This window comes from Homo sapiens, chromosome 8 (genome assembly GCF_000001405.40).
Source record: "Homo sapiens chromosome 8, GRCh38.p14 Primary Assembly".
Taxonomy (NCBI): domain Eukaryota; kingdom Metazoa; phylum Chordata; class Mammalia; order Primates; family Hominidae; genus Homo; species Homo sapiens.
Genome location: NC_000008.11, coordinates 10,189,039 through 10,208,273, shown reverse-complemented (window position 1 = coordinate 10,208,273; position 19,235 = coordinate 10,189,039). Strand labels below are relative to the sequence as shown.

At 42.9% G+C, this 19,235-nt stretch overlaps 1 protein-coding gene across 9 annotated transcripts in view; it reads right to left on the bottom strand.

Annotated features, from left to right (window-relative positions):
* The window catches only part of MSRA (methionine sulfoxide reductase A), a 374,600-nt gene that overhangs the window by 220,618 nt on the left and 134,747 nt on the right, over nt 1–19,235 (bottom strand). For all 9 annotated transcript variants that reach the window (NM_012331.5, NM_001135670.3, XM_011543822.3 and 6 more), the window contains one exon: nt 373–441. In NM_012331.5, the coding sequence (NP_036463.1) occupies nt 373–441 (69 nt within the window). The remainder of the gene's footprint in view (nt 1–372; nt 442–19,235) is intronic.

The following is a 19,235-nucleotide window of genomic DNA, read 5'->3' as shown; positions in this document are numbered from 1 at the left end:
GTCAAAACTACTTAAATTCCAGCCTTTAACAAAGTGATATATCTATGTGGAAAAAAAAAAAATCCGTGCTAGCAAAGAAAAACTCAAACCCTAAATTAGCAGGTTAATTCACAGTGTGGACATAAGAAATAGCAAATACTCAGTTTGATACGTGGTTGTCAACGTGAGAAAATAAAGCACGCTAAATTCTATAGAATAAGCTTTTCCAACCCCAGAAATTACTAGGAACTCAATAGTTTTCTTGGCTGTAACAACTTGTAAATATCTAGAAGAGCCCAGATTTTGAAGCCCTGAGAACACTTGCTAAAACTAAGAAATTTGGCACTAGTCTTTGCACACAATTTGGGTTTTCTTTCAGAATTGATATCTTACCAAATACAGCCATCTGTGTTCCCTCTGGGAAAGGTTCGACTGTTCTGTTGCCATTGACATGATGTTTGGCTAGAAAAAAAAAAAAAGAAATGCAAGTTTAAGTGTAAAGTTCTAACACATACTAACACATGTCATTAAATGTGTCAATGAGCCTATTTCTCCTTTGAGTTAAAAATGCACCCAAGCTTACCCTCTGAAGAGAGCTTCAATTATTTTGTTTTTCATCTCCATTGCAGAAGGGCCTAGAGATCATCTAGTTCAGGTATGTCATTTTATAAATGAGTAGGCTGAGGTCTGAGCTTGTGCAGAGCTGGACAATGGGTGGCTACAGACCCAGCCGGGCCTGAAGGCTCCCGACACCCAGCCAGAGTCCCTCTTCTGCCACACCATCTCTAAAAAACAAGCAAAGCTCCAACTTCCAGGCTGAACTGGGGGTGAGTCCCCCTGCAGACTCCTAACAATCAGAACACTGATGCACTCAGTATTTAAAGTGAGAAGTAAAAAGGGCAAGGTTCCATTGGGAGCAATTTTTCAAAAAACACAATAGCAGAACATGTCATTTCAGTACAGTACAAGCACTGTTCACCCAGGCCAAAGACACCAGCCTCCTTAAGAGCCAGAGAGATATTCCAGTGCCTCCTACAGCTCCTTATCCCCCCACCCAGGTCCTCCTAACCAGTCACCCTTCCCACCCTAGTAAACACTGAGGACTCGGAAGTAACAAGTGACCAGGTTATTGTTTTCCAGCATTAACTTGATCTTACAACCCCCAAACTGTGATCAATAGACAATATGAGTATTCCCCATCTATGAGCATTTTCTAAATAATATCCTCAGCAGGTTTTGAATAGGAGCACTTATGTGGAAAACACAAAAGAAAAGGATAGCTAAGACGCTTCACACTGCATCATCGGCAGAGACGCTTTGATGTAATGGGTCACACTGGATTGGCTGGGTTCAGGCAAAGGGCTCAGCACTGAAGCCACGCTTGGAGGGGTCTAGGGAAGGATGACACAGTTCCTGCCCTCGAGGAGAGTACAGTTATCTTCAAGAAATAACAACTGCAAAAACAAACATTAAAGAAGGCATATAATTATGTGCTAAGTCCTGCCATGTGGACGGAGGGTTCTGCAGGAGTGCAGGTAATTGTAGCAGGAGAGCTGGGTGGGAAGTCAGATGTGCTGCCAGAAGGCGCTGCCACTCCTGGAGTCCGAAGGAGAAGTCAGGTTTGCAAAGGCAAGGGTGAGAGAGCAACTTCAGTGAGGGCCAGGAGTCATCTTCCCGGGCCAGAGAACAATCTGTCTTGGTGCAGTGGAGGTGCTATTTTGAGAAGCAATGGCAAGTAAATCTCTTAGACCGAGACTAGGTCACGGAAGATCTTGAGCACCCATCCAAACCCATGGGAAGCTGCCTGTAGCCCTTAGGGATTCCATCAGTTCCCTTCTGGGGCTTCCACTGGTTGTAAAGTCATTGTGGCATTCCTACAAGCAAAAAGCCTGGGAAAAGGGAGAACCCAGCCCAGGGTTCTGAGGGCAAGGTGGTGGGCTCAGTGGCCTTATAGAGGTCTGTAGCCACTAACTGGCACAATTAGCAGATGTGTGATGGAAGGTCCCAGCTGTGTGATGGAAGGACCCTGTCAAGCATTCACTGATCTGGTTAGGACCACTGGTTACTGAATTCAAATAAACATGCTGAGCTTCCGTGTGGAGATCAAAGATCTGCCCTTTCGTTCTTGCCTCACAGCCCTGTCAGTGGTTTGGAAAACATTTGCCTTGACCCATATCACAAGTCAGAAACCAAACTCTTTAAACCCATGAATCCCACTCGTAAGAATACACCTTAAGAAAAAAACACACGAGAAGAAAAGGTGATACACATAATATCTATGAAAGTATTACCTGTAATAACAAAATCTTAAAATCAACTAAATATCCAAAAGTAGAGGAATTGCTTAGAAAATTACCATTTATGATTTATCAAATGAATGGAATATTACCCAACATGTTTTAAATGCAGCCTTGAGAGAGATACAGAAATGTGGGAAAATATTTGGGATAATGGTAAGGAAACACAATCCTATTACAACTTCTACATAGACTATAATGACAACTAATTAAAATATGAATATTTATGTGAAAAGACTGGCAGAAGAACATAAAAATGAAAACACAAAGACTATGCAAGACATTTATTTTTATTTATTTCCTTTCTCATTGTTAGATTCTTTTCTTTTTGTCTAGGGTGAAAATGTTTGAATTCAAACAAATGAAAATTATAGATTTTTCTATTTTTTCCACAGTAGTTGGTTTCCCAGGACAATCCATCAAGGTCTGTCGATGGCCCAGCTGAAACCCACATGTTCACAATCCAAAGTGCACCCTATCTGACATCTCCTCTGAACACCGCAAAACTACACAGGATGTCCTCCCATCCCAAACCAGCTTCTGTGCCAGCATCCCCCACCTTTGGGAATGGGCCTGCCATGCTCCTGCTTTCTAACTGTCCTTATCCCTTCTCTTCCTTCACTCCCCACATCCAATCTGCCACCACAGCCAGCGACTGTCCCCCTCCAGACACCTGTAGCATCCCCCTCACTTCTTTTTTTCATTACCGAAGCCTCCCTAGCCCCAAATGTCATGACCCCTTTTTCCGGACTCCGACATCTGCCTTCTAACTCTTGTATATCCCTTGTCCAATTCATTCTTCCCAAGGTAGCCACAATTATCTTTCCAAAGGGAAAAAAATCTAATCATGTGACACAAACTCCAAGACCCCTCCTCCCCTTCCATGGCATCCCATGACTCTCAGGCCACAGTCAAAGCTCTTTGGCATGGCCTGCAAGCACCTGCATGGTCAGAACACTAGCATCCCTCATCCATCCACCACAGCCACCCTGATCCCTCAGGACCAAGGGCCTTTCCTCTGCAGCACTCACCCAAGTAGCACTTTGCACTTATGCCACTGTTTGTACAGGGACTGCATCTATCAGTAGACTGCAAGCTCAGGGAGGGCAGGGGTCGTAGCTCTCTGACTCCCCATTTCCATAATCCTCTCTCAGCGTATGGACACAGAACGGGCATTTGATGAGTATTTGTTAAATTAACGAGTGAGGTAAATGGTACTAAAAAATCTCTCTTTAGCCATTATGAAAGATAACTTATTTGATCCATTAAAAATACATATATACAGTTATGCATCACTTAACAACAGGGATATATTCAGGGAAATCTATGTGTTGTCAGGTCATTTTGTCATTGGGCAACACAGAGTGCACTTACACAAACCTAGATGGTAGAGCCAACTACACACCTAAGCTATGGCTATGTGGTATAGTCTATTGCCCCTAGGCTATGACCTGTACAGCATGTGACTATACTGAATACTGTAGTCAACTGTAATACAATGATAAGTATTTGTGATCTAGATATCTATAAGCACAGAAAAGGTACGGTAAAAATACAGTATAAAAGATTTAAAAAAAAGGTACACCTGTCTAGGGTATTTATGACAAATGGAGCTTGCAGGACTGGAAGCTGCTCTGGGTAAGTCAATGAGTGGTGAGTGGGTGTGAAGGCCTAGGCCATTACTGAACACTACCACGGACTTTATAAATATCACGCACTTAGGCTACACTAAATTGTTTTTTAAATTTTCTTTCTTCAATACTAAATTAACCTCAGCTACTGTAATTTTTTACTTTATAAACTTTTAAACTATTTTTTACTTTTCGACTGTTGTAATAACATAACTTAACACAAGCACATTGTACAATTATATGAAAATATTTTTATATTTATTCTATAAGCTCTTCCTGTTTTTAAAATTTTCATTTTTTACTTTTTAAATTTTCTGTTGAAAACTTCTTCCTATTTTTAAAATTTTCATTTTTTACTTTTTAAATTTTGTTGAAAACTTCTATTTTTAAAATTTTCATTTTTTACTTTTTAAATTTTCTGTTGAAAACTAAGACACAAATGCACACATTCGCCTAAGCCTAAGCATGATCAGAATCATTAATATCACTGTCTTCCACCCTCCACATCTCGTCCCACTGGAAGGTCTTTAGAGGCAATAACACGCTTGGAGCTGTCATCTCCTATGGTAACAATGTCTCCTTCTGGACACCTCCTGAAGTACCTGCCTCAGGCTATTTTACAGTTTTTTATAACTGCAGGAGCACACTCTAAAATAAGGACAAAAAGTATAGTATAGCAAATACATAAGCCAGTAACATCATTGTTTATGATGATTATCAACTATTATGTACTATACATTATCGAATGTGCTGAACTTTTATATGACTAGCAGTGCAGTAGGTTTGTTTACAACAGTGTGACCAAAAATACATGAATAATGTGTTGTGCTACGATGTCACCATGGTTACAATGTCACTAGGTGATAAAAATCTTTCAGTTCCACTATAATCTTAAGGGACCACCATCATATACATAATCCCTTGTTGGTCAAAACATTGTTATGTGGCACATGACTGTTACATATCTTTATGTGTACATGCGTGTGTTCCTTACATAAAATGATCATTGAAAATGGCCCCTCAGAAATAGTTTCCCCAGCCAGGTGACCTGGATACAAGGGAACTCCTCTATTCCACTCCTTAAATCTCAACCCCTCTTCCCTTTCCCATTTACCTAGTCTCAACTGAGAGGTGGGCAGTGCTGGCTGAGATGGAAAGACCAGAAATACTGCATGAATTGGAGAAGGTGGAGGGAGTTCACTTGCTATTCCCTCATCACTCATGAGGTCCCTGGCGGCTTTGTCTTGTCTTTAATTCCAGAGCCTGAAGCCCAAAGATAACAGGTTCTTAAAACGTGATTTTGCACCTTCTACTGAAATACAGCTGAGTCTTACATCAGTCCTGTGGACCGCAGGCACAACACTCACAAGCAGGAGACAGGACAGAACTGGTGGCTAAGAACAGGCGATCCAGGACAAGACGGCCTGACTGTGACTCTCAGCTCTCCCACTTCCTACCCATATGATCTTGGCTTAGTCACTCAACCTCTTCATGCCTCTGTGTCCTCATCTGTAAGAATTTCTTCATTTTAAGTTTCCTCATTTGTACTTACTTCATGGGGTGTTTTGAGAATTAAATACAAAAAGCACTCAGAACAGTGTCCAGTACATAACAAACTCTATATAACAGTTAGGCTGGTATTATCACCTGTGTGAACTTTACTTTCCAACAGGTCTGTTTCAGGAACGGCAAATAAACATTAGTCACCTCCCCTCCACGACCATGCCCATGGCAGACATCACTAATCAAACACAGCATACTTTCTTGATCCCTGAATGTGCCCACAGAATCTTTTCTCAACACAGTACCCATAGAGTCTCATCGCTTAGAGGCATCATGTGTGATGAAATCATTTTGCCATTGCTGGTTTAAATGGATAAAACAAAGATGGCACAGGGGAAGAAGTCATTTTCCTTCTCATTTCTACACTGTGATAACAAACCTCTGAAAATCCCCCACACTATATATTGCTCTAGGGATAAAAGAATAAGGGGAAATCTGAGAGCTACTTTCCACTCCACAATGGGAAAATAGCAAGTTCTTTACAACCAAGAAATGACCCCAGCTCTATTCCTAGAAACCAAGGTGGAGTTTTTAAAGACATTTTCTCATTGAAATTCTGCTAAGGCAAGTATTTGGGGGCCAAAGAACCAAAGATCCTTTAAACCCTTCGTATAGGTTCAGTAAGATATGGGGGAAGGGTGGGCTAACCTGGGAACCTAACCCACCATTTACAAATTTGTTTCAAAATCAATGGCATGTTTCACCACAGAAACAAATTTATTAAACAGAAAAGCCATTCATTAATTGAGCCCTAACTATTGATTACCAGTAGAGTGTCAAATGGAGACACAAGAGTCTCCAACAGGGACATCTGTTACCCAGCCATAGCAGAGTGGGTGCCTCCCAACTGGTGGGTTGGGCACATGCCCCAGCCCCTTCTCTGCTACAAGGGGCACATGCCAAAGCCACATGCTCTGGGAGGACAACCTCTGCTGATGGCAGTGACGTGTCCTCCACCAAGAAGATATGAGGACAAGAAACAGATTTTCATTCATCTTGAGAGCGCAGTGCTTGCAGAGTAGCAGTTAATTAGACCAAGACTGGGTCAAAGTCAACTTCTGGATGTTGAAGGGGATCGGGGGGACATGTTCAAAAGCTTAAGAAGATGATACTGACATTGCTTTTTATTTTGTTTTGTGAATGTCTCATGCACTTCAAATTGTATGACTTTCTTCCTTGAAAAGGGCACAGTAAAACTGCTTGGTAACACATCTACAATAATGCAAAATCAGGCATAAACCAATCAGGGATGAGCTCCCTGTCCTGTGCTCAACTGGGAACACCTAAAATTCGTATCCTCTGGGTAAGGAGGGTGGGGAAAGCAGTGGGGACTGGGTGACCAGGGGACACCACCTAACTGGAGATTCCAGGAACAGCAGCTGCCATCTTGGGAGTCCTGGTTAGCCACTAGACACAAAATCATCTCAGGACTGGAAGAGTCTTGGATCAGACTAAACTCTCAGAACTGCCGGTCATCAAGAAGTACAATCTCATCGGGTCATGTTATTAACCCCATGCCAACCCAACCCATACCGCATGCTCCTGAGGGATCTGGACTGACGTATCAAGTGTTTCTACTGACTAATCCAGCTGCTACTACACTGAGCAGCAGAGAGGAGGGTCACGGTGGGGCTGGAGTAAAGTGCATTTATCTCAGTAATATGGTAAAAATCTGTCAACACCCCAACAAAATATGGTCTCACAGTCCCTCTTCTTATCTGTTTCTTTGTGGCTCCTTCTCCAGGTCACAAAGTCATGGTGGTTCAGGGTACAAGTCAGTCAGGAAGTAAGTAAGGTTCCTATGTGGCCCACAAGCCCTGGCCTCAGACTAGCCACTCCCATCTCTGCAGCGGGCCCCTCAAGGACACTGACTGAGCGTTCTGGGCCCTGATCCTGCCCAGGTCCTCTCCGCAGATGCTAAGGATGAGGTGGCTGTCACTCAAATCTGGGGCAGGGGCTCTGAGAGAGGATGGAGTCACGCCTCTAGTCATACATGCCCAGGGGCACTGAGGTTCTGGTTGTGTTTGTCCCTCACAGCTCCTACAATGTGCGATATGGTGTTTTAAGGTGCAAGTTAACCAAGAGTGGGTTTTGCCCCCAATAGCAGCATGTTCTATATGTCAGGAGAGGCTACGTGGGGACAAACATGGTGCTGGGTGAGTCACTGGGAGGGGCTTCTCCCCTCCCTGCTGACCACTACGCCCACTCATCCTGTGTCCCAGGAATTCCCAGTGCTCCTCCCTGACCTGGAAGGCAAGCGACAACCAGCAGCTGGGACCCGTGATGAGGAGCAGCAAGGCAGGGAGTCCCCCAGGAAGGCCATGGTGGGAATAAGGCAAATGTCCCCAGCTGCTGTGGGTACCCAGAAGGTGAGATTTACTCTCAAAGCTGGAGGTGAAGGGGAAGGCAGCTCACTGCTCTCCCCCATGGTGACCAGGGACCATATGCAAGTGGGGGCTGCCCCCAAAACAAAAGGTATGTGATGGAAAAACAGAGGACAATTGGACAACAGTGAAAAATCACAGCACGAAAAACAAATCAGGTGTCATTCAGGATTTTATCCTCTTGCTCTGACCACGGCCTCCCCGCAGTCAACCCCGCCCTCCACGACCATCTGGCCCGCTCCCTTTGCTCCAGACGCAGCAGAACGGAGATACACCTCCCGGCTGGTAATGGAGCCGATGCCCAGCTCAGGCAACCCCCATACCTCCCCAGGCAACCCCCATACCTCCCAGCTCTTTCTGCAGAAGAACAAGCCTGAGCTTCAAGAGGTCACAATAGGATGGGCAGAACAGGCCAGGCTGAAAGCCCAGCCAGCACAGTAACCCACCTTGGTGAGGCATAAGCTGGTACCTAGAGGCGGGTCCTTTGGCTCATGTTCACTCCCTGGCAAGGATGTTCTCCACATTGATAAGTGCCAGGAGTTAGTGTTGTGGGGCAAAGATAAATTTCACAGATCCTACACTCAAGGACTCCATTTCATCAACCAGTTATTAAGAAAAATCCTAAGAGAGGATTTTTAGCCCAAAGAGTGAGGAAATAAGGATGAGGACACATTTTTAATAGAATAAAGCATTATGCAAATAGAGGGCATTCTTCCTTCTCATGATTTGCCTGCTGCATTTCCTGAAGTCTGCTCAGTGCACAAGCCCACTAGTGTGACTACAAGCCTAGGATGGCAAAGCTGAATGGAGATGCCCCAACCACAAGCCCTTTTTATTCATTAAAAAAAAACTGGCGGGCAGATCACGAGGTCAAGAGAGCGACGCCATCCTGGCCAACATGGTGAAACGCCATCTCTACTAAAAATACAAAAATTAGCAGGGCACGGTGGCGCGCATTTGTAGTCCCAGCTACTCAGGAGGCTGAGGCAGGAGAATCACTTGAACCCGGGAGGTGCAGGTTGCAGTGGGCCAAGATCGCACCACTGCAGTCCAGCCTGGCAACAGAGTGAGAATGCGTCTCAAAAAACAAACAAACAAACAAAAAACCCAGCCTAGAGTGAGCCTACCGGCCTAGGGTGAGCCTACCATGCCCCCTATTCCCTGAGACTGCAGACTGTCTGGGGAGTGAAGAAAGGTGATCAGAGGGATCCCCCATTAGAGTGCAAGAGGAACCCAGCGGCCCTAGAAGACAGCATGGAAACCATTTCTCCAGGCTCCCAAAGCAGGCATCCATGATTCTGCAAAAGACAGAGGTTGCATCACCAAAGACAAAGGGAGGAATGATGGGAACTGATATTATGCAGATAAATTGTTAATTATATAAATACACAATAGATGCTCAGTCTCAAAAGAGAGACTAGCTTTGATTCGTGCAAATGGCAAACTTGCGAAAACAATGCCGAGCACTGACCAGGCTTCAGTGAGACAAGCTTTCTCCTACACTGCTCATGGCACATGAAACGCTACAATCTAATTGGAAAGCAGTCTGACAATAGGTACCAAGAATGCCAAAAGCCAACCTGGGCAACATAGCGAGACTCCCATTGCTACAAAAAATAAATAAATAAGTTAGCCAGGCATGGTGGTGTGCACCTGTGGTCCCAGCTACTAGGGAGGCTGAGCCAGGAGAAACATTTGAGCCCAGTAGTTAGAAGCTGCATTGAGCTATGACTGTCCCATTGCACTCCAGCCTGGGTGACAGAGGAGACCCTGCCACAACTACCACAACCAACCAAGAATGTCAAAAGCATTTCCACCCTTCGACCTAGTCACTGCAATTATAAATAGCTACTGTAGGAGATAATCAGAATTGAGACAAAGAATTCCAGAGATGTTTACAACAGAACTGTTTAAAATACAGAAAAACTGTAAATAAGCTGAATGACCCCACACATGGAGAATAAATTTGTGACACAGTTCTAAGATACAGTATTATATGGTAACTTTTAAAGTATGACCATGAGTACTTTTTTCCTGGCATCAGGAAATAATAATAATATATATGGAGTTGAGTGGGGAAAAAGTAAGAACAACAAAAAAAAAAATAATAAAGTATCCTCCTCAAGTAAAGAACAAAGTCAAGGAAAATAACAAGAAGGAAGCATGGTGATGCTGTAGTCGTGGCTGATTTATATGCTGATTTATGGGTGATTTTGCTTCCTTCTTTATACTTTTATTTATTCCCAAATTTTTCTTAAGCAAATATTTCTTTGCTAATCAATAAATTATCAAAAGAAAAAAAAACTGAAAGCAACGCTTGAAAAAAGGAAAGTTAGCCCCTATCGGGTATATTTTGGAAGTTGTAAAATACTACGTGTTCTCTTCTAAGTCCCACTCCTCTGTTTTCTTTGAGCAGGAAAGAGAAAGCAGTCACCCTCTCTTCCATGACAACAACCCATGACCGGCTGCTTGCCTGCTCCATCACAGGAAGGTGCAGCAGAGCCCTTTTCTTCCCAGGGTTGTGGGCACCTTGAACTATCCTGGCTTGCTAGCTAAGAAACTGCCCCAAGTGACGCACACTCAAGCTGTTCGGGGACTTCCAGAATAAACCAAACCAGCTGTATTACTGGTCTTTGACATCCTCTCTGGTCAGGGCCAAGTCACTGTCCCTGTCTTGGAGAGGGCTTCTGAGCAAGCTTATCAACTCCCAGGTGGGCATGTGTAGGCAGGGCGGATGGACGTTGGCAGAGAGACCTGGGAACCCATATCTGCCCCACCAAGGCCTGGGGATCTGCATTTCAGCCAAACCCCATCACAGTTAGAATGTGGCTCCTGAACACTGGTATTTGCACAGTGCTTACTGGTGGTGATACAGACGGAAAGACAACCCTGGCCCTCTCTCCAGCCTTCACCAGCCCGCAATGCCCGACCCACTTCTTAGGGTTGCTGATCAGACACGTCAACACATGCCTCTGTGTTGACAGCACTGCCTGCAGCTCTCCAAGCATCCTGCATCTCCGGCAAGCACCAGACTAGCCTGAGTTCCCAACACAAGCACTCCATCATCATTAATTCCATTTTTAGAAGAAATCCATTTTCACCTTTGTAATACTTTTATTAATTGCCACATTTAAGTACCATGTCTAACTTAGGCGTCTGTGATAAGCATATAATATTACATTAATTGATGGAAATTTTCCACCTGACTTTTATGAAATCTCACCACCACTATTAACACAAGTAATTCCTAATGACTACCAAAATTAGATAATCTTGAGAATATAAATGACAATGAAAATAAGGTTATTTTAAGGATTAAAATCTGTATTTCAGCCTGATGCCTGTGACACCCTTGTGAATAACAACGTTGAAAGTAGGTGTACTGAAACACATGGCTATAGACCAAAAGGAATTTGTTTTATACTAAGACATGTGTTTCCTATTGAGTCTAAAACATATTTTACATTTTGAAGATGAATGTTAAACATATCTATAAAGAGTCATATACAAATCATACTTATTATTCTTGTTTATAAAGGTACTGTCCTGGCCAGGTACAGTGGCTCATGCCTGTAATCCCAGCACTTTGGGAGGCCGAGGTGGACGGATTACTTGAGGTCAGGAGATCGAGACCAGCCTGGCCAACATGGTGAAACCCCATTTCTACTAAAAATTAAAAAAAAAAATTAAAAATAAAAAAAAATTAGCCGGGCATGGTGGTGCATCCCTGTAATTCCAGCTACTCGGGAGGGTGAGGCAGGAAAATGGCTTAAAGCCAGGAGGCAGAGGTTGCGATGAGTCGAGATTGCACCACTGCACTCCAGCCTGGGTGACAGAGCGATAATCTGTCTCAAAAAATAAAAATAAATAAATACATTTTTTAGAAAAGGTACTGTCCTTCAAAGACGTGTAGGGGCCTCGCTTCCTGACCCACAGAAGCAGCAAAGTTATTTCCTTCCTCCCCAGCATCTGTCCATGCTGGTTTTGCCACATTAAAATCTCAGTGTTGTACAGAGTCCCCAGGTATTGTGGATGTAATTAAGGCATAAGGCCCACCGAGGAACTTGCTCATCCTATCACCCAAGTCATACTGTCACTCTGGAGCCCAACGTGTGCCTCCAAAACATCATTAAATGTTTCTACAAGCAGTTCTACACCACAGCACGAAGAGAAGGTGGCACACGTTTCTAGAGAAGCTCCACAGTATACAGCACATCTCTCTTCCTTGTGAACATGTCAGCGGCCTTAAGCATGTACCACACTGTCCCTTGAAGGCACATCGTATGCCTGGAGGTTGCAAGGGGCACTGTCAGCTGTCAGAGAGCAGCTGAGCGGGGAGTGGTCCAGTGGCTCCCCCACCCCGCACCCTCTCCTCTCTGACAGTGATAAATGATCGGAGGTAATGGTCAGCTGAGCCTGATGGGCCCACACCTCCCCTTCCAATCTGTTCCAGACCAACACCAACCTTTCACCCTTGAACACTGCTGTCAGCTTTACAAAGCAGGCCTGCTGCAGGGTAAGGTCAGGGCTATTGGCTTTCTGGCTGCTATTCGTTCGTGAAAACGAATTCTGGCTTTATTTCTTGATGGAAGCTCCCCATCAAAAATGGAGCATGAACTGTGTCATTATAAACTTTACAGCAAACTTGTCTTGATTCTCTTTTTACATGAGAGATGAAGGAGATAGCTAAATATGTGACTTTAAGAAGAAAAGAGGAATCATTGTAGATATAAACATAGATATCAGTTTTGCTCAGGCCAGCTGGCCTCCATTAAAAACACAAGGCTTCCAATTTATTCAATTATTGTCTCTTGCTGAGGTTCAGAAGACAAAGAAGATTCTACAGGAAATAATATAGTGATAAAGAGATAGAAAATTAGGCCAGGCACGGTGGCTCACACCTGTAATCCTAGCACTTGGGGAGGCCAAGGTAGGCAAATTGCCTGAGCTGAGGAATTCAAGACCACCCTGGGCAACATGGGGAACCCCCATCTCTGCTAAAATACAAAAAATTAGCCTGGCGTGGTGGCATGTGCCTGTAGTCCCAGCTACTCAGAAGGCTGAGGCAGAAGAATTGTCTGAACCCGGGAGGCAGAGATTGCAATGAGCCGAGATTGTGCCACTGCACTGAAGCCTGGGCGACAGAGTGAGACTCAAAAAACAAACAAACAAAAAAGATAGGAAATTAACATGGAACATTAACAAGGTTCATCCCAGTTGAGCTTCCATAGCACAGGCTTTGCTCACGGACAAAGACAGTCATCACAAGATTGCTTGTAAAAATACTGGTCCTAACAGTTTGCATAAAATAATCCATGCTATGCAATAATCAGCATTGTTATAAAGAATAGGGTAACTATAGTTACAGATATGAAACTATCTACCAGATACACAGTTAATTGAGGGAAAAATCAAAGTGCAGGAGAATAGTACTGCATTCTATAATTTGTTTTTAAAAACTCTTGTTACTTTTGAACTTCTGTGTGATGTATTACTTTTTCAGAAACGGAAATAAAAAATATTTTAAACATCTCCAGTCTTTGCTCCCCCAGTGAACACCTGGAAGCCCAGGAGTCTCTTCCCAGGGCTGAGGGCCAGGCTGGGATGTAGGAGTGGCTGGCAGCTGCAGGTAAGCAGCCCCTGAGCTCTGATCAGCCTCATGCTTAAACTGCATCCAGTCCCAGGACAAATGTCAAAGATGATCCCATTTGTATCATATGGTAGAAAAACTGCAACCCAGCTTTAAAATTCCAAGTAAGTACCCTAGAAGGCCTCAAGATAGAGCTATCACTTCATTTCCTCTACAAAATTGGGCTGCAGTCCCCAGAGTAATATGTTAATTGTTTTTTGGTTTTTTTCCTCACTCTGTGGAAATGAGGAGGCAGAAGTGCATTAGCATGATCTTGGCTCACCGCAACCTCTGCCTCCCAGGTTCAAGCCATTTTCCTGCCTCAGCCTCCCAAGTAGCTGGGATTACAGGTGGCTGCCACCACACCTGGCTAGTTTTTGTACTTTTAGTAGAGACAGGTTTCACCATGTTGAACAGGCTGGCCTCAAACTCCTGACCTCAAGTGATCCACCTGTCTCGGCTTCCCAAAGTGCTGGGATTACAGGCAGGAGCCATGGAGGCTAGCCTTAATTATCTTCTTTTTAAGGGGGGGAAGGATTTTAAGAGGATCAAGCATGCAAAATTTTGGATAGAAATAAAAGATTATTCAAAAATGAAGTATTTGTGGGTTCACCCCTTTTTTACTTTGGAGGAGAGAGGGGGAGAGTGAGACTCGTACAGCAGCAAGTATTTTGCCTTTCTGGAACTTGGTGCTGTTTGAATTATTGCTCCATCCCTCTTCCCTCTCATCCTTTCTGTTACTCTCTCTCTTGCAATTTTTCTTCCATAACAGAAGAGTATCTTAAAATCTATTTTATATGTTCACATTCTGAATTCTAAAAGCTGTTGGAATGTTATATATTTCCCTTAAATTATCAAGTTTTTACTATGAAGCTCTCAATTGATTTTCAATAAGTGGGTAGATTTTTTTTAAAAAATCCTGCCCTTACTAGAGATACAGCACATGTAAATCAGCTACTCTAACATTTTCTTCTAAGGACCTGTCATTCTGAGATAGCAGACTTGGTCCCATGGCTAATTAAGGGAAGTTGGATAACCCAGCGCATATTCATATTAAGAAACATAATGAACAAAATCTTCCACTTTGGTTCTACACACGACACAGACAGGCGCTTGGTGGTGCTTTTTTACACTTGCCTTTCTATGAAAGATGGAGGCGAAATAGAACATCTTAACTCAGGGAAGTCAGTGGAGATGGTAGTGGCTCTTTAAACACACTGCTGGGTGCCTGACTTCACTAACAGATGGAGATTAGGGATAGCAGCACCGTCTGCTTGGTTATCGTCCCTGAATACATGCTCAATAAAAACTTGCACATTCTAGCAATGGACACTTCTTTGATGGATTCTGTAATGACTGAATGGAGCTTTGCTGAATAAAATTACCGCAGTGTCTGAAAATATCAAACACAGGGGAGACAGAGGAGGCGGCCTCACACTGAACCCACTCTGGAGCCTGCGCAGTGTCTCTCTCAGCGGGAAGGCCATAGGCCTCCATAAAGCCATGCGCTGAATGGGGTCTAAGGCAGGCCCAAAATGTTTCTCATGTGCTAATTCTGATCAGATGTTTTTGGAAGCACCTGAATAAGACCCTAGAATTCTAGAAATGTAGAAGACGAGTGTGACTTGGCATACCTCAGCTATAAGAAGACTTCAGCATAGGCCTTGCAGTAAATCTGATTTCGAGGAGAATTATGTCTTGATAGGTCTGCCAGGATATTAGTGCCAAGACTAAATTATAGTAATCTCTATTTTCTGTCACTTTTTCTTCCCAAAAGGCTTATAGCTCAAAATGTAAACTATTGTTGAGAAGGTTTCTGGGGAGAACATAATATAATATGGGCAAACCCCCAATTTAAAAATGAGTCACATTTCAAAAGCATGTTTATGAAATGGGTGTCTGAGATTTAGAAACCATTTTCCATGAACATGCTGTTATAAACGGTGGTAAACTTGCCCAGAAGGGCCTCCTCAGCCCATAATGAGTCTCATATATAATTCTTTCCAAGGACCCTGAGCACCATTTACAGAATACTGTTTCAGTGAGAAAAGCATTCTAATTTCTACCCTATAACATCAAGAACATACCCTTACATACTGGTCAAGCTGGTTGCAAGCTAGGATAGGGGAAAAGAATACATTTCCCATCCTTGCTTAAGCCTTTCAGCTACTAACTATAGACAGAAATCTCCACATTGTGCTACTCATCACTGAGGAATGAGTTTTCTTCCCATGGAGAGGAGGAACTCCCTTGTTGCACAACAACCACTGTTCAATTGCAAGGTACACTTTAAGTTAAGTGGTCTAATTTCTTATTAGAATAGGAAGCTGGGTGTTTCTGGCTCAGGGTGTCCCACAAACATGCAATCAAGGTGTCAGCTGGGCTGCGGTCTCATCTGAAGGCTTGGTAGGGGGAGGATCCACTCTACCGCTCACTGGTTGGAAAGGCTCAGTGAACTTGAGAGCAGATCCTCCCCTGGTTCTAAAGGTATAGCCACAAATTCTGATACTCTTCTGTCAAGAAGTGGAGCTTAATCCCTTTCCTTTGAGTGTAGGCCGAACTTAGTGATTCACTGCTACTAAACAGAACACAACAGGAGTGATGGGGGTTTGATTCCGTGAGTGGATGATAGACTATGACTTCCATCTTGGGTGCTCTCTTGTTCTCCTTAGATGGCTTGCTGTGGGGGAAACCAGCTGCTATATCGTAAGGCAGCCCTATGAAGAGGCCCATGTGGCAGGAAACGGAGGCTTGCCAACAGCCCTGTGAATGAGCCCCAGAAAACACAATGCAGCTGACACCTTGACTGCAGCCTCGTGAGGAACACTGATCCAGGGGCACCCAGCTAAGCCATGCCCACAATCGTGACCTAAGAAAACTATGGGATAGTAAATGAGTGTTGTTTTAAACTGCTAAGTTTTAGAATAATTGATTATACAGTGATAGAAAATTAATACAGTAATGTGTTCTAATAAAAGAAAAATAATGCAATTTTTTTCCAAAGGAAAACTAATGACATAAGCCAAAAAAAAAAACATCTTTATAATGCCAATTTCCACAGGAACAATATATTTCCAGTCTAACTGATTTACAAATCGACCCCTAGAACATGACCCATTTCTAAGTTGGAGACTATCTCTATGTGGTTTATTTTCTCCACAAACTTTGTTCCCTCGTGTGCTGGCATTGCTAAAACAGGCATTTCTGAACCACTAAAGTCTAGGAATAGAGTGTAAGATATCAAAGTAGGGCTTTTAGCACTTTTGTAATAATTCTGGCAATTTTTATTCATTTGCATTATCCAGGGGATTGCTACTTGCTTTTCCTGCTGTTTTGTTTGGGGAAGTTATACCTCTGCCTCATAGGGCTTACAAAAACAATGAAGAAAAATGTTTTTCCAAAATTCCCAGGGAGGCTAAATTTAAGTTAATGCCAAAGGCCTAACTGCAATGGGGAGAATATTCTGTATTTCGGTGGGGTTTTGTTTTGTTGATCAGTTGGTTAGGTGAGTCTGGGGTCTCTTTTCTCTGACTAGACAGAAGTAAAAAGATGGTGGGGTTATTCCTATTCATAATGATGTCTATAGTAAAATATGTTTTTTCCCTTTTGCTATAAAAATAAAATAAAATCTAAACATTAAAATTGTTGCTGCTATTAAGCTAGGTGATTTATTAGCCTAGATACTTCATCCATAAGCAGCTTAAGGTTATAGGACCTCTAGTCTAAGCAGCAGAAGAATGGGACGCTATGCTTATAGTGTCTCATAAAATCCTCAACATCTCTGCTCACGGTCATGAGACACCAGAAAACTAATGCTGAAGCTGATCGACCAGTCATGGCCCTAGTTTACTGACTCCTGAACTTAGTCTCACTACACTCTGGTCTCCCTCTTCCTCATTTTAGATTTTAGTTAAGTCCCTGGCAAAAACACGTAAGGACGGGATGAGTAAAGAAAGGAGGAAAAAATACCAGTTGAACACATAGCAATGTCTCCTACCCTTCTTGAAAATGACAAAAACCATAGGTCACAGAAGTCTCAACTCAGATACTGCTTACAAGAAATTTTTGGATAACCATTCAGGAGACACAAACCACACAGTAGGTTAATGGAAAGTCTAATATAAAGAATACTACAATAAAATAGTAACTACGTGATCTAAACTCTCTCTGGCAAACACGGACTGACAGAAAGTGCCCAAGGAAGACAGACATGAAAGGACTCAGATGTCTTGGAGAAGGTGTGCTTCAGCCACCAGACGGCTGAGAAGTTTGCGGGCTTGGCCAGGCCAGAGCTGATCTGGAGACACCAGACAGGCAACATCACCCTCTGGATTGCAGATTGTCAGGAACTAGCAGCATGACGTGCTGGGGGTGTCCAGGCACTGACGGGGGCAGGAGGCCTTGGAATCATCTGCGGGGATGCTGGGCACTGCCACGGACAGAAGCGGCACAGGCAGGGGCGGCCCAGGGGCTCTGGTGCCCTGTGGGGAGGGCTGCAGAAACATTACCACCAGGCTGAGGGTTTGAGGTCGCAGAGACTGAGTTCTGGGGCCATGACTGGGGCAGGCTCAACGGAAGGTCCTCATGCCCACAAAAGAAATGGCAAGAGAGACTTCCTCCAGCAATGACCCCCCTCCCCCAAAGCGCCCTCTACTGACAATGCTTAATGTCGTGCTCACATTAAACAAGAAACACCAAGGACATTCCTTGGCTTATCACAGAGCTTACACAGAAAGATGTATTTGGAGCTAAGAGGCAACAAATTAATAACAGACACACTTCAAAAGATACAAATCACCAAAAAATAACACGAGAAATAGAAAATCTGAAATAGAAAACTCCATGCTCCCAGATTTTCACTGAGAAACTCTAGATACATTCAAGCAAGAGATAATATCAATCCTATGTAAACGCCTTGAAAAAAGAGGAAGGGGGAACCTTTCCCAGCTCATTTCATAAGACCCACATTACTCTGATGCCAAAACCAGACAAAGACACAAGAAAACTAGAGACAGATCCCCTTTATGAACACAGAATTTAAAATTCTTTAATAATACTGAATTCAGGAATATATAAAAAGTATAACAATCATGGCCAAGTGGGATTCATCCAAGGAATTCAAAGTTGTTTTAACAATGAAAAAATTCAATTAATGTCATTTACCATATTAACTGGCTAAAAAAGAAAAAAAATCTGATCAACTCAATAAATGCTACAAAAAAGCATTTGATACAATTCAATACCTACCTGTGTTTAAAAAACTTTTTTTAGTCAACAAGGGAGATAAGCTAATAAAAAAAATCTACTAAAAAGCTACAGCTGCATCATACTTTATGGTAACAGACCGAACGTTCTCAGCCTTAAATTAGGAATGAAGCTAGGGTTTACACTCACTCTACTTCTATTTGACATTGTAGTGAGGTCCTAGTCAGTTCAAAAAAGGCAAGAAAAAGAAATAAAAATCGTACAAAAATGAAAGAAGGAAAATACTTTATACGCAGACAACATGATTGTGTAAGTAAAAAATCCTAAGGAAAAAAGCTATTTGTACTAAAAAGTTTACCAAGCTCACCAAATGTAGGTCAGTATGCAAAAATAAACTATAATTTTACATAGTAGCAACAAATGAAATGTTAATTTCTTTTTAAAAGAAGTACTTTACATAATAACAACATATAACATGAAATACTAGGGAGATTTTTAATAAAATGTCAGTAAGGTCTGTACCCTGAAAACTATAAAACACTGTTGA